General features: G+C 42.4%; 1 protein-coding gene across 3 annotated transcripts in view; it reads left to right on the top strand.

Annotated features, from left to right (window-relative positions):
- GATAD2B (GATA zinc finger domain containing 2B) overlaps nucleotides 1-16,647 on the top strand; it is a 118,248-nt gene that overhangs the window by 78,708 nt on the left and 22,893 nt on the right. For all 3 annotated transcript variants that reach the window (NM_020699.4, XM_047426115.1, XM_047426117.1), the window contains exon 2: nucleotides 15,917-16,252. In NM_020699.4, the coding sequence (NP_065750.1) occupies nucleotides 15,918-16,252 (335 nt within the window). In that variant the 5' untranslated portion in view covers nucleotide 15,917. The remainder of the gene's footprint in view (nucleotides 1-15,916; nucleotides 16,253-16,647) is intronic.

Below are 16,647 nucleotides of genomic sequence, written 5' to 3'. Positions count from 1 at the left end.
ATGTGAGTTCTGGGTAGTGCTTGCTCCATTCCTTTCATATGTTTTTTTTTCCCCCAGTCTTGGATAGTTTCCTCAGTCACATGTGCTGATCAGCACTCTGATATCCTCAGTATTTGAGGGGATCATTTTGCAGATCTCTGGGCTTCTGAGACTTTCTCTGCAGCTTTCTCTGCTGTGATACTCTGTCCTTTGAAATCTGGCTGCCATTATCTCATTATGTTCTCTGCTCCATCTCTTCAACTCAGGAGTTTCTCAGGCTGTGCCTCAATCTCCCTCCCCTCCTGCATCATGTCCTGGAAACTCTCTTAAGGCAATAAGCCAGGCCAGTTGTAGAGCTCACTTCATTTGCTTCTTGTCACTCTGGGATCACTGTCCATTGTTGCCTGATGTCCATTGTTTTCAAAACCCTTGTTTTTATGGTTTTTGTTTGGGTTTTTTTTTTTTTTTTTTGGTGGTGGTGGTGGTTCTTTTAGGTGAGAGGGTAAATCTCTGGTCTCTGTTGAATCATCTTGACCAGAAGTGGAAATTGCAGCATTGGTTTTAACATCAACAAATTGATCCCTAAATGTTGAGGTGGAGAATGGATAACTAATTGTATATTCCTGCTGTGGGATTCTACACAGCAGTTAAAACAAATGAAGTAGAGCTTTATGCAGTTACTTGGACAAATTTTAAATATAAAAAATTGAAGGCTGGGCATGGTGCCTCATACCTGTAATCCTGGTGCTTTGGGAAGCCAAGGCAGGAGGATCGTGTGAGGCCAGGAGTTCAAGACTAACCTGGGCAACATGACAAAACCCCATCTTTACAAATAACTTTTTTTTTTGTAAATGTCGCTTCTCCTCTAGTGGCTGAGGTAGGAGGGTGCAATGAGGCCAGGAATTTGAGGCTGCAGATTGCTAAGATGGTGCCTGTGAATAGCCACTGCACTCCAGCCTGGGTAACATAGTGAGACCCCATATATTAGCCAAGTGTGGTGGTGTGCACCTGTAGTCCTAGCTGCTTGGGAGGCTGAGGTGGGAGGATTGCTTGAGCCCAGGAGGTCAAGGTTACAGTGAGACATGATCACACCACTGCATTCCAGCCTGGGCAACAGAGTGAGATACTGTCTCTTAAAAAAAAAAATGCCAGGCACAGTGGCAAAAATTAGCCTGGCATGGCAGCGTGAGCCTATAATCCTAGCTACTTGGGAGGCTGAGGCGGGAGGATCACTTGAGCCCAGGAAGCGGAGGTTGCAGTGAGCCGACATGGTCCACTGCACTCCAGCCTGGGCGACAGCGAGACTCTGTCTCAAAAAAAAAAAAAAAAAAGGCTGGGCGAGGTGGCTCACGCCTGTAATCCCAGCACTTTGGGAGGCCGAGGCGGGCAGATCACCTGAGGTCAGGAGTTTAAGACCACCCTGACCAACATGGTGAAACCCTGTCTCTACTAAAAATACAAAAAAATTAGCCAGGAGTGGTGGCAGGCGCCTGTAATCCCAGCTACTCCGGAGGTTGAGGTAGGAGAATTGCTTGAACCCGGGAGGCGGAGGCTGCAGTGAGCCGAGATTGTGCCATTGCACTCCAGCCTGGGCAACGAGTGAAACTCCATCTCATACATACATACATACATACATACATAAAATTTTAAAAAACAAAAGCAAAAACAATATTGGAAAGAAAAATGAAGAACAGTACAGAAGTGATAATTTCTAAAAATATACAAACTATGCTATATATTATTAATGATTACATGTATATGCAATAAACTTATTTAATATTTATGAGAATGGAAACAACATCTGAAGGAGGAGAGAGGGCGAGAAAGGGTTGAGAGTGAAGTTACACAGTGCTTCAGATTTATCTAATGTTTTGTCTCACTAAAAATAGGAGACCACATAGATGACTAACAACTAGTATCTAAAATACATAAAGAACTCTCAAAACTCAACAGTAAAAAGGAACAGCAAAGAGCTCGGTTAGGAAATGAGCAAAAGACATGAACAGAAGTTTCACAGAAGAGAATTACAGATGGCAAATAAACATGTAAAAAGAACATCATTAGCCATTAGGGAAATGAAAATTGAAACCACAATGAAATATTACCACACACCTATCCAAATGGCTTAAGTAAGAAATAATGACACCAGCCAGGTGCAGTGGCACACACTTCAAGTCGCTTCTCCTCTAGTGGCTGAGGTAGGAGGATGGAATGAGGCCAGGAATTTGAGGCTGCAGATTGTTAAGATGGTGCCTATGAATAGCCACTGCACTCCAGCCTGGGTAACATAGTGAGACCCCATCTATTAAATAACAGTAATAAAAATGACACCACCAAATGCTGGTGAGGGTGTGAAAAACCTGGATTTCTCATACATTGCATCTGGGAATATATGATGGTATAGCTACTCTGGAAAACAGATTGGCAGTTTCTTATAAAACCGAACATTCACTTACCATATGACTCAGCAGTTGCACACTTAGGCATTTATCCCAGATAAATGAAAACTTTTCTACAAAAACTTTCCCATGAATGTTCATAGCAGCTGTATTCCTAATAGCCAAAAACGGAAAACAACTCAGATGTCCTTCAGTGAGTAAATAAACCATGGTACATCCATACCATGGAATACTACTCAGCAATAAAAAGGAATAAACTGTTGGTACTTGCAGCCACTTCGATGAATCTCAGTGAAATTATCCTAAGTGAAAAAGGCCAGTCCTAAAAGTTACATACTCTATGATTCCAACTTTATAATAGTTTGAAAAGCAAACATTTTAGAAATGGAGAACAGATTAGTGGCTTCTAGGAGTTAGGAATGAATGTGGCAGGAGATGGGAGGGGATAGGGTAGATGTTGTTATAAAACAGTTAACACGAGGGCTCCTTGAGGTGATGGAACGGTGCTGTTTCTTAACTGTGATGATGGATACATGAACTTACAAATGTGACAAAATTGTGTAGAACTAAGTACATACAAATGAATACTAATAAAATGGGAAATCTGAAGATCTGCTTATTGTATCAATGTTGATATCCTGCTGGTGATATGGTACTATAGTTTTGCAAGATGTTACCATTGGGGGAAACTAGATAAAGGGTACATGAGATCTTCTTTATCTCCATCTTTTTTTTTCTTTTTTTCTTTTTTTTTTTTTTTTTGAGACGGAGTCTTCCTCTGTCACCCAGGCTGGAGTGCAGTGGCCTGATCTCGGTTCACTGCAACCTCGGCCTCCTGGGTTCACGCCATTCTCCTGCTTCAGCTTCCTGAGTAGCTCAGACTACAGGCACATGCCACCACGCCCGGCTAACTTTTTCTATTTTTAGTAGAGACGGGGTTTCACCGTGTCAGCCAGGATGGTCTTGATCGCCTGACCACATGATCCGCTCTCCTCGGCCTCCCAGAGTGCTGGGATTACAGGCGTGAGCCACCGTGCCCGGCCTATCTCCATCTTTGAAATATTTTATAATAAGAACAATCTCTTCAGTGTGCACAGTAAAATTCTCTGTGACCATTTGAGACAAATCAGAAAAAATAGTGGAAACATAAAAATGAAAATTTTCTGCTTATTAATATTTACTTCAAAGTTTTTAGATTTTAAAAAGATAAACTAGAACTTATGAAAGTATTTTTTTAAGAATGTATTTTCGGCTGGGCCCAGTGGCTCACACCTGTAGTCTCAGCACTTTGGGAGGCTGAGGCGGGTGGATCACCTGAGGTCGGGAGTTCGAGACCAGCTTCACCAACACAGAGAAACCCTGTCTCTACTAAAAATACAAAATTAGCTAGGCGTGGTGGCGCATGCCTGTAATCCTAGCTACTCGGGAGGCTGAGGCAGGAGAATTGCTTGAACCCAGGAGGCGGAGGTTGCGGTGAGCCGAGATCGCGCCATTGCACTCCAGCCTGGGCAACAAGAGCAAAACTCCACCTAAAAAAAAAATAAGTATTTTCAGCAGGGCGCAGTGGCTCATGCCTGTAACCCCAGCACTTTGGGAGGCCGAGGCAGGTGGATCACCTGAGGTCAGGAGTTCAAGACCAGCCTGGACAACATGGTGAAACCCCCGTCTCTACTAAAAATACAAAAAATTAGCCGGGCGTGATGGCAGGTGCCTGTAATCCCAGCTACTCAGGAGGCTGAGGCAGGAGAATCGCTTGAACCTGGGAGGCGGAGGTAGCAGTGAGACAAGATCGTGCCATTGCACTCCAGCCTGGGCAACAAGAGTGAGACTCCGTCTCAAAAAAAAAAAAAAAAAAAAAAAGAAAGTATTTTCATTTCTACTTAGGATTTTAAAACCAAAACAGCTTTTTGTTTGAGACAGAATCTCGCTTTGTCGCCAGGTCTAGGGTGCAATGGCATGATCTCAGCTCACTGCAACCTCTGCCTCCCAGGTTCAAGTGATTCTCCTGCCTCAGCCTCCCAACCAGCTGGGATTACAGGCACGCACCTGCCACCAGCCCAGCTAATTTTTTGTGTTTTTAGTAGAGATGGGGTCTCACCATGTTAGTCAGGCTGGTTTCAAACTCCTAACCTCAAGTGATCTGCCTGCTTTGGCCTCCCAAAATGCTGGGATTACAGGTGTGAGCCACTGCACCCAGCCTTCAAAACAGTTTTTTAAACTTACTTTTTATGTGTTAAATACTAGGACTGTTGTCTCCTTCATTATAAATACTGATAACTTTTCATAAGTAACATAACCATCTTATGATCTTTTAGACTATTACTACTTTAAACTTTTAAGTTACATTATATAACTATAGGCTTCACTTTCATCATTTTTGAGAATTAGAGGTTTTCCAACCTAGCTAACAATTTAGATTTTTCTGTTCTCTGATGTGATGGAAGAACAAAGAACAAATATAAAGGGCCTTGTACATTGCCTTGTGAAGACCAGGTACTCCTATATATGTTAATTTATTTTGTTCACCCTCTTCATTCCCCTATCCTCTGTCTGCCTCTCAGGATCCTCTTAAGTCTTTGCTGCAAATCCAGGTTTTGGTTTAATGTTGTCAGAAACTTTACAAGCATGAATGTAGAGCTATTTCATTTGGCATTCTTGTTTCTTATAGGAGTCCAACAGCAAGTTTAAAGTTGGACATTTTTCTTTTTCTGCTCTAGTTGTTTGACACAACTACTCTCTTCCTTAAACTTTCTTTTTTTTTTTTTTTTTTTTTTTTTTGAGACAGGGTCTCGTTCTGTCACCCAGGCTGGAGTGAAGTGACCTGATCTCAGTTCACTGCAACCTCTGCCTCCCAGGTTCAAGTGATTCTCATGCCTCAGCCACCTGAGTAGCTGGGATTACAGGCATGCACCACCACACCCGGCAATTTTTGTATTTTTAGTAGAGACAAGCTTTTGCCATGCTGGCCAGGCTGATCTCGAACTCCCAGCCTCAAATGATCTGCCATCCTTGGCCTCCCAAAGTGTTAGGATTACAGGCGTGAGCCACTGTGTCCAGCCTCTGCCTTCTTATATACTGCTTTTCATCCTCACATTTCAGTAAAGAGAAAATTCACCCAAAGGCAAAAGCTGAAGCCAGGAAATAATCCTTTTCTCTGACCCCAAATCTAAGTCACCAACTCCTATCAATTCTATTTTCTTCCTCTGAATGTAAAAGAGAAAATATGCACATGGTGGCTCGCATCTGTAGTTCCAGCTACTCAGGAGGCCGAGGCATGAGAGTCGCTTGAACCCGGGGGCCCAGGCTTCAGTGAGCCATGATTGCACCACTGTACTCCAGACTGGATGACAGAGTGAGACTCAAAAAAGGGGGAAAAAAAAAGAGGCAGGGCGCGTCTCTTTGCAGTGAGCTGAGATTGTGCCATTGCACTCCAGCCTGGGCAACAGAGCAAAAACTCCATCTCAAAACAAAAAAAAAGGCAGAGAAAATGAGTTCATGTAAACATCCAATTATGTATTTTTGTTATATGCACATCTTTCTATTGGAATGAAATTCTGGAAAACAGTAATCTAGTCGTTTTCCAAAAATCTTTACTCCTAATGTCTGACTTTGACACATAGTGTATGATTAATATTTGTGGGGTGGATGGATGGATAGATGTGCAGATACATGAATACACAGTACTTGCTTCTTAAGATGTCTGGCTCTGAGAAGGGTGTTGTACTGTGTAATAGATTTTGGAAATGAGCTAGACCTGTGTTGTAATTCCAGATTTACTTTCTAAAGCTTTGCAGTTGGGATACATCTCTTCCCACCTGTGAAGTAGAAACAATACTACCTACTTAGTAGCTTGTTGAAAAGATTTAAGTAAGTTTCTTCTCCAACTGGAATGGAGAAAAAAAATATATAAGTAAGAATACGTGATAAAGTGTCCAATAGCATGTTTGGATTTAAGTGGGTGGTTAAGAAATAGTATTTGTTATTATTAGGATCACAGAAGAAACAAAAAAAGATTGGTTAGGCATTAAAAGGCAATATGCAACATTCATTTTACAAAATTTTCTTTTTTTTGCAGAGGAATATTTATGTGATAAGTTTTCAGTGAATATTATTTTTACAGTTTTATAATAGGGGACATAATTTAACTGTAGAATTTTTTTTTAGTATATTTACAAAGTTGTGCAACCATCACAACAGTCTGTTTTAGAAGAACATTTCCGATCACCCTAAAAAGATCACGTGTACCCTTCCGTAATCAGTTATGTTGGATTTTGTTTTTGCAATTTTGTTGTGGTAAAATATATGTAACATGAAATTTACCATCTTAACCATTTGTAAGTATATAATTCAGTGGATTTAAGTACATTCACATTGTTTTGCAACCATCACCACTATCTACTTGCAGAACTTTTTCTTCATCCCAGAGACTCTGTTCCCATTAAACAATCACCCCTCACTCCCCACCCCTACCTTAGCTGGAAACCTCTATTCTACTGTGTTTTTTTTTTTGTTTGTTTTGTTTTTGGGGTTTTTTGTTTGTTTTTGTTGTTGTTGTTTTTGAGATAAGGGCATCTTACTCTGTTGCCTAGGCTAGTCTTCAACTCCTGACACTCAAGCATTCCTCCCACACCAGCCTCCCAAGTAGCTAGAATTATAGGCACTTGCCACCATGCTCAGCCCTCTATTATACTTTCTATCTCTAGGTACCTCATATATGTGGAACCATACAATATTTATCCTTTTGTGTCTGGTTTATTTTACTCGCATAATGTTTTCAAAGTTCGTCCATTTTACATTGGATTTTGAGGGAGGCATGGTTGTGAGTGCATAAAGTTGAGGTTTATAGATTAGTAAAGACAAAGAGTAGCCGTGGATAGATTGGTCAGAATTCTCAAGCTATCTATTAGGAAAGACTTACCTCAGACATTCAGGTATCTGGGTTCTGGTTTCTCACAACCTCTGATGGGTCAGTTTCTTTCTTGAATCATTAATGTATAGTAAGGGGAAATTATTTGACTTACTTTCAGCTGTTTGTATAATTGTCAATTCAAGGAGCCAAGGTAATGATGGCACCCCAAACTCTAGCTCTAGGTTATTGAATTTTGTTGTTTTGTCATATACTATCAGTGCACGTGAATATATCTCAAAACTTAGAATACTGTAGTATATCAACTTAAATGTGTATATCTTGCTATGTGTACTTAAGAGACAGGGTCTTGCTCTGTCACCCAGGCTGGAGTAGAGTGGCGCAATCATAGCTCACTGCAGCCTCAAACTCCTGGGCTCAAATGATCTTCCCACTTCAGTCACCATGCCTTTTTTTTTTAACTTTTTTAGGCTGGGTGCAGTGGCTCACGCCTGTAATCCCAGCACTTTGGGAGGCCAAGGTGGGCGGATCACTTGAGGTCAGGAGTTCAAGACTAGCCTGGCCAACATGGAGAAACCTCGTCTCTACTAAAAATACAAAAATTAGCCGAGTATGGTGGCGAACACCTGTAATCTCAGCTACTTGGAAGGCTGAGGCATGAGAATCACTTGAACCTGGGAGGCTTGCAGTGAGCCGAGGCTGTGCCACTGCACTCCAGCCTGGGTGACAGACTGTCTAAAAAAAAAAAAAAAAAAACAAATTTTTTTTTAGAGATGAGTCTCCCAGGATGGTCTCAAACTCTCAGCCTCCAATGATCCTCTTGTGTCACTGGGATTACACACACAAGCCACTGCCTTACTGTGTACTTTTCTAAAGTATAGACATACCTCAGAGATTTTGTATGTTCCATTCCAGACCACCACAATAAAGCAAATATTGCAATAAAGCAAGTCACACAAATTTTTTGGTTTCCCAGTGTATATAAAAGTTATGTTTAGGCCAGACGCAGTGGCTCACGCCTGTAATCCAAGCACTCTGGAAGGCTGAGGCGGGAGGATTGCTTGAAGTCAGGAGTTTGAGACCAGCCTGGTCAACATGGTGAAACCTTGTCTCTACTAAAAATACAAAAAGTAGCTGGGCATGGTGGTACGCGCCTGTAATCCCAGCTACTCAGGAGGCTGAGGCAGTAGAATCGCTTGAACTCAGGAGGCAGAGGTTGTAATGAACCGAGATCACGCCACTCCACTCCAGCCTGGACGACAGAGCAAGAGTCTGTCTCAAAAAAATAATAATAATAATAAAATAAAAGTTATGTTTACATTATGCTGTAGTCTATTAAGTGCAATAGGATTATGTCTAAGAAAACAATGAATACATCTTAAATAAAAAACACTTTCTTGCTAAAAAGTACTAACAATCATCTGAGCCTTCAGCAAGTCATTATCTTTTAGCTGGTAGAGTGTCTTGCCTCCATGTGGATGACTGCTCACCCATTAGTGTGGTGGTTGCTGAAGGTTGGGGTAACCTGGCAATTTTTTTTTTTTTTTGAGATTACAGGCATGAGCCACTGCGCCTGCCCAACCTGGCAGTTTCTTAAAATAAGATGATGAAGTTTGCCACATGGATTGACTCTCCTTTCATGAAAGATTTTCATATAGCATGCGGTACTGTTTAATACCATTTTATCCACAGTAGAACTGCTTTCAACATTGGTGTCATTTCTTTCAAACCCTGCTGCTTTGTCAACTCAAGTTTATGGAATATTCTAAATCTTCTGGTGTCATTTCAACAGTGTTCACAGCATCTTACCAGGAGTAGATTCCATCTCAAGAAACCACTTTCTTTGCTCATCCATAAGAAGCAACTCCTTATCCATTCAAATTTTTGTTTTTTGTTTGTTTTTTAAAGAGACTCAGTTGTGGTCTGTCACCCAAGCTGGAGTGCAGTGGCATGATCGTAGCTCATTGTAGCCTCAAACTCCTGGGCTCATGCGATCCCCTCACCTCACTCTCCTGAGTGAGGTGCATGCCACCGTGCCCAACTAATTTTTTTTTTTATTTTCTGTAGAGATAGGGTCTCACTTTGTTGTCCAGGTTGGTCTCGAACTCCTGGGCTCAAGTGATCCTCCTGTCTCAGCCTCCCAAAGTGCTGGGATTACAGTGCTGGGATCCCAGCTGTGCCTTGCCCAGGCTCCCTTCTAATTGTAGTTTTCTTGCTGTTTCTACCACTTTTGCAGTCATTTCCTCCATTGAAACCTTGAACCTGTCAAAGGTCATGTATGAAAGTTATAATCAACTTCTTTCAAATTCCTGTTAGTGTTGATAGTTTTAGGCCGGGCGTGGTGGCTCATGCCTGTAATCCCAGCAATTTGGGAAGCCGAGGCAGGCAGATCACCTGAGGTCGGGAGTGCGAGACCAGCCTGACCAACATGGAGAAACCCTTTCTCTACTAAAAATACAAAATTAGCTGGGCCTGGGGTGGCACATGCCTGTAATCCCAGCTACTCGGGAGACTGAGGCAGGAGAATTGCTTGAACCTGGAAGGTGGAGGTGAGCTGAGATCGCACCATTGCACTCCAGCCTGGGCAACAAGAGCAAAACTCCGTCTTAAAAAAAAGAAAAAGAAAAGAAAAATGTTAATAGTTTTACTTCCTCCTGCAATGGTAAATAATTTCCAGGAGGTTTTTTAAATTTTTATTTTTATAGAGACAGGGTCTTGGCTGGGCGTGGTGGTCATGCCTGTAATCCCAGCACTTTGGGAGGCTGAGGTGGGCGGATCACGAGGTCAGGAGTTCGAGACCATCCTGGCTGACACGGTGAAACCCCATCTCTATAGCAAAAATACAAAAAATTAGCTGGGCGTGGTGGTGGGCGTTTGTAATCCCAGCTGCACGGAAGGCTGAGGCAGGAGAATGGCATGAACCCAGGAGGTGGAGGTTGCAGTGAACTGAGGTTGTGCCACTGCACTCCAGACTGGGCAACAGAGTGAGACTCTGTCTCAAAAACAAACAAAAAACAACCAAAAAAAAACATAAAAAAAAAGAGAGAGAGACAGGGTCTTACTGTGTTGCCCAGGCCAGTCTCAAACTCCTGGGCTCAAGTGATCCTCCCACGTTGGCCTCGAAAGCACTGGAATTACTTTTGTGAGCCACCATGCTTGGCCTGAAATATATTAATATTTCTTTTTTCTTTTTTTTTTTTTTTTTTTTGGAGACTGAGTTTTGCTCTCGTTGCCCAGGCTGGAGCGCAGTGGCATGATCTTGGCTCACTGCCACCTCCCCCTCCCAGGTTCAGGCTATTCTCCTGCCTCACCCTCCCATGTAGCTGGGATTACGGGCATGTGCTGCCAAGCCTAATTTTGTATTTTTAGTAGAGACGGGGTTTCACCATGTTGGTCAGACTGGTCTCGAACTCTTGACCTTAGGTGATCCACCTGCCTCGGCTTCCCAAAGTGCTGGGATTACAGGCGTGAGCCCCCATGCCCAGCAATATTTCTTACATAGTAAGACTTGAAAGTTAAAATTACTCCTTGATTCATGGTCTGTAGAGTGGATGTGTTAGCCACATGAAAACAACATTAATCTCCTTGTTCATCTCCATCAGAGCTCTTGGTGACTGGGTGCATTGTCAATGAGCAGTAATATTTTGAAAGGGATCTTTTTTCTGAGCAGTAGATCTCAGCCATGAGCTTAAAATATTCAGTAAACCATACTGTAAACAGATGTGCTGTCATCCAGACGTCGTTGTTCCATTGAGAGAGTGCAGGCAGAGTAGATTTAGCCTAATTCTTACCTTTTTTCTAAGTGATGGAGTCTTGCTATGTTGTCCAGGCTGGAGTGCAGTGGCTATTCACAGGTGCAATCATAGTGCTCTACAGCCTCAAAATCCTGAGCTCAGGCAACTCTGCTGCCTTAGCCTCCCACATAGCCGAGACTACTGGTGTGCACTACTATGCCCAGTTTATTTAACATAATTCTTAAGGGCCTTAGAATTGTTGGAATGGTAAATGATCACTGACTTCAATTTAAAGTCACCAGCCATATTAGCCTCTAACAAGAGAGTCAGCCTGTCTTTTGAAGCTTTGGAGCCTGGTATTGACATCTCTCTATGAAAGTCTTCTAGTAGAAGGCTATTTTATCTACATTGAAAATGTGCTGTTCACATGGGCTTATAGATGAAAACAGTAGACACTGAGTACTCCAAAAAGGGGAGGAATGGAGTGGGAGATAAGGGTTGAAAAACTACCCATTGGGTACTATGTTAGCTATTTGGGTGATGAGTTCAATAGAAGCCCAAACCCCAGCATTATGCAGTATATCCATTTAATAAATCTACACATGTATCCCTTAAATCTAAAATAAAAATTAGAAAATTTTAAAAAGGGAAAAAAATGTACTGTTAATGTGTCACTTTTGTGGGTTATCTCAGCTAGATCTTATGGATAACTTGCGTTAGCTTCTACATCAGGACTTGGCTACTGCTGTACCTTGTACTTTGGTGTTATGGCGTGACTTCTTAAACCTCATGAACCAGCCTCTGCTAGTTTCCAGCTTTTCTTTTGCAGCTTCCTCATTTCTCCCAGCCTTCACAGAATTGAAGAGAGTTAGGGCCTGATTCTGAATTACGCTTTGGCTTAAAGGAATGCTGTGGCTGGTTTGATCTTGCCAGTGCACTAAAACTTTCTCCATATTGCCAGTAAGGCCTTTGCACTTTGCCATTATTTGTGTGTGCATTGGAATAGCACTTTTAATTTCCTTCAGGAACTTTTCCTTTGCATTCACAACTTGGCTAACTTTTTTTTTTTTGAGATGGAGTCTTGCTCTTGTCGCCTAGGCTGGAGTGCAGTGGTGCGATCTTGGCTCACTGAAACCTCTGCCTCCCGGGTTCAAGTGATCCTCCTGCCTCAGCCTCCCAAATAGCTGGGATTACAGGCATGTGCCACAACACCCGACTAATTTTTGTATTTTTAGTAGAGACGGGGTTTCACCATGTTGGCCAGGCTGGTCTCGAACTCCTGACCTCAAGTGATCAGCCCGCCTTGGCTTCCCAAAGTGCTGAGATTACAGGCGTGAGCCACTGTGCCTGGCCTTGTTTTCCTTTAACAAAGTATCTGCAAAGCACAATAAAGTGAAATGCAATAAAATGAGGCATGGCTGTACTTTTTGCGTCTAGGCGTATAATCAGTTGAGTGGCAGACTTTTCCTACTCTGCCCAACTTACCATGGTATGTCCAGTTACTGCTCTCACTTATATAGTGTTGATTGAACTACTAAAGACATTGTTAACTATAGAGTTAGGGTAGTGGTCTATAGCACTCCACTTTCTAGTCCCTCCATCTGAAGATATTTTTCAGAGGTAAATTGGGAGGTGAAGTGTGATAAAAATGTTCTAAAGTTGATTATAATGATAGTTGCACAGCTCTGAATATACTAAACATCATTGAATTGTACACTTTACATAGGTGAATTGTATGATATGTGAATTATATCTCAGTAAAGCTATTCTTTTTTTTTTATTATTTTACTTTAAGTTCTGGGATACATGCACAGAACCTGAAGGTTTATTACATAGGTATACATGTGCCATGGTGGTTTGCAGCAGCTATCAACCCGTCATCTAGGTTTTAAGCCCCACATGTATTAGATATTTGTCCTAATGCTCTCCTTCCTTTTGCCTCCTACCCCCCAACAGACCCAGGTGTGTGATGTTCCCCCTTCCTGTGTCCATGTGTTCTCATTGTTCAACTCCCACTTACGAGTGAAAACAGGCAGTGTTTGGTTTTCTGTTCCTTTGTTAGTTTGCTGAGATTGATGGGTTCCAGCTTCATCCATTTAAACTGCAAAGGACATGAACTCATTCTTTTTTTATGGCTGCTAAAGCTATTCTTTAAAAAGGGAGGGAATTAAGAAGCATTAACCCAAAATTCAGAAGTTTGGGTTGTGACTTTTATCTCTAAAAGGTGTATTTCTGCCTATAATCCCAAGTGCTTTGAGAGGCTGACGCAGGAGGATCATTTGAGCCCAGGAGTTCCAGACCAGCCTGGGCAACATAGTGAGACCTTGTCCTACAAAAAACTAAAAAATTAGCCCAGTGTGGTGGCACGCGTCTCTAGCTACTCAGGAGGCTGAGGTGTGGAGGATTGTTGGAGCCCTAGAGTTTGAAGCTGCAATAAGCTATGATTGTGCCACTTGCACCCTAGCCTGGGTGATAGAGTGAGACCCTGTCTCTCAAAAATAAAAATAAAAAGGCCGGGCGCGGTGGCTCACGCCTGTAATCCCAGCACTTTGGGAGGCCGAGGCGGGCGGATCACGAGGTCAGGAGATCGAGACCATCCCGGCTAAAACAGTGAAACCCCGTCTCTACTAAAAATACAAAAAATTAGCCGGGCGTAGTGGCGGGCGCCTGTAGTCCCAGCTACTTGGGAGGCTGAGGCAGGAGAATGGCGTGAACCCGGGAGGCGGAGCTTGCAGTGAGCCGAGATCCCGCCACTGCACTCCAGCCTGGGCGACAGAGCGAGACTCTGTCTCAAAAAAAAAAATAAATAAATAAAATAAAATAAAATAAAAATAAAAACAGGCCGGGCACAGTGGCTAATGCCTGTGATCCCAGCACTTCAGGAGGCCGAGGCAGACAGATCACAAGGTCAAGAGATTGAGACCATCCTGGCCAACATGGTGAAACCCTGTCTCTACTAAAAATACAAAAATTAGCTGGACGTGGTGGCACACACCCATAGTCCCAGCTACTTGGGAGGCTGAGGCAGGAGAATTGCTTTGAACCTGGGAGGCAGAGGTTGCAGTGAGCTGAGATCTCACCACTCCACTCCAGCCTGGCAACAGAACAAGAGTCCATCTCAAATAAATACATAAATACAAATATAATAAAGGGTGTGTGTTTCATTTTTTGGTCTTGTTTTGTTTTTGTTTTGAGACAGTTTCACTCTGTCACCCAGGCTGGAATGCAGTGGTGTGATCTTGGCACACTGCAACCTCCACCTTGCAGGTTCAAGTGATTCTCATGCCTCAGCCTCTCAGGTAGCTGGGACTACATGAAAGCTCCACCATGCCTAATTTTAGTATTTTTAGTGCAGACAGGGTTTCACCATGTTGGCCAGGCTGGTCTCGAACTCCTGATCTCAAGTGATCTACCCACCTCAGCCTCCCAAAGTGCTGGGATTACAAGCGTGAGCCACTGCACCCGGCCCCTGTTTCGTTTTATTTATTTTTCATTGCAACTGGAAAAGAATCTTTTTAATTTAATTCATTCATTCATTCGTTGATTCTTTGAGATGGAGTCTCACTCTGTCGCCCAGGCTGGAGTGCAGTGGCGAGATCTCAGCTCACTGCAGCCTCTGCCTTCTGGGTTCAAGCAATTCTTTGCCTCAGCTTCCCAAGTAGCAGGGATTACAGGCGCCCGCCACCACGCCCAGCTAAGTTTTTATATTTTTAGTAGAGATGGGGTTTCACCATCTTAGCCAGGCTGGTCTTGAACTCCTGACCTCGTGATCCACCCTCCTCGGCCTCCCAAAATGCTGGGATTATAGGTGTGAGCCACCACGCCCAGCCCTGGAATAGAAAAAAATTTTAAGTACTCCATTTTTACAAATGAAATTGAAACTTGGGAAGGTAAAATAACTTACTAAATATTTGACCTGGTTAACATAAGTAGCAATTTTAAACTGTGTTTCTTTGACTTAAAAGATTTTCTTACTATTTTATCTTTGCTGTTTCCTACCAGGACAACAAACCTGGATTTGAAAGTGTTGGAGAAAATCTAAATCTGAATTTGCATTTAGATTTTTTTTTTGTTGTTTCCTGGAGAGAGAGCCTCGCTGTATCGCCCTAGCTGGAGTTCAGTGGTACGATCAGGCTCAGTGCAGCCTCAACCTCCTGGGCTCAAGCAATCCTCCCACCTTAGCCTCCCAAGTAGCTGGGACTACAGGCATGTGCCACCATGCCTGACAAATTTTTAATTTTTTTGTAGAGATGGGGTCTCACCATTTTGCCCAGGCTGGTCTTGAACTCCTGGGCTCAAGCCATCCTCCCACCTCAGCCTCTGGAGGAGCTGACAATACAAGTTGAGCCACCATGTCCGGCCTACATTTAGATTTTGTTAGTGTAAAAAAAATCAAAGTGAAAAGGGAAGATAATGATTAATTAGCTTGTCGTTAACACTTTTTCTTCATGAGTAAAGAAAAAAATAGTGCTTCTTATCAGGCTAAGCACCTGAGTTCTTCATTTTAAAAAGCATCTTAAATGTCTTCAGATTTTGAATCTGCTAACCCTGGTGACATGCAGTTTACCTATATAACAAACCTGCACATGTACCCTTGAACATAAAATAAAAGCCAAAAAAAAAAAAAGATTTTCAATCTGTATCCATGTAGAATTAAGGGCACGTGTCAACAGGCCTTGCTTATGTAGATTTAAGTTTACTTAAATTGCTGGGTTGAATGCCCAGAAATCTCCTTTAATATAAATGTTCTAGGACAATATCAGGTAGGACATAGCTTAGTTAACTTTGAACTTTGTGTGTGTGTGTGTGTGTGTGTGTGTGTGTGTGTGTATGTGTGAGAGAGAGATTCTTGTTAATAACTTCACCATTCCACCTTTTTAAAAATGGACTATTTAAGGGACTTTATTCTGATCTTACTTGTATTTTTCTTTCCATAGGATGGATAGAATGACAGAAGATGCTCTTCGCTTGAATCTGTTGAAGCGGAGCTTGGACCCAGCAGATGAGCGAGATGATGTCCTGGCAAAGCGACTCAAAATGGAGGGGCATGAGGCCATGGAACGTCTGAAAATGTTGGCATTGCTCAAAAGGAAGGATTTGGCAAATCTTGAGGTGCCACATGAGTTACCCACCAAACAGGATGGCAGTGGTGTCAAGGGCTATGAAGAAAAACTTAACGGGAATCTCAGGCCTCATGGAGACAACAGGACTGCTGGAAGGCCAGGCAAAGAAAACATCAATGATGAGCCTGTGGATATGAGTGCTAGACGGAGGTATGGCTCAGTTCAGCTGCCTCCAGGGATAGGGTCGTCTCATAAAGCCTGTGAAAATGGAATGAATTCCAATGAGAGGAGGGTGTTTTTCATCCTAAAGATTCTTAAAAGAAGATATATCATCGAGTTTGACCATAAATTCATTTTATTTCCAAATGAAACCAGGTGCCTCAAAAACTGCTTAGCCTACAGAGAATCGTAGTTCTTACTCTTAAGAGAAAAAATGGTCATTTCTAGATAAAGGGGGCACTAGAGAGCTGATAGGCCAAATGGAAGTGAGTTAATATATACCTTCATTCTAATCTTCATGGCCGTCTTAGGAGGAGAAAAATAGTCTTTTTGTCAGATAATTCCAGGAGTTTTAGGATGTATTTATTGTGGAGTCCCAGCTTTTA

The sequence above is a fragment of the Homo sapiens genome, chromosome 1, assembly GCF_000001405.40.
Source record: "Homo sapiens chromosome 1, GRCh38.p14 Primary Assembly".
NCBI classification, from domain to species: domain Eukaryota; kingdom Metazoa; phylum Chordata; class Mammalia; order Primates; family Hominidae; genus Homo; species Homo sapiens.
Note: the sequence above shows the minus strand (reverse complement) of the source record. Positions and strands in the feature narration are given on the sequence as shown.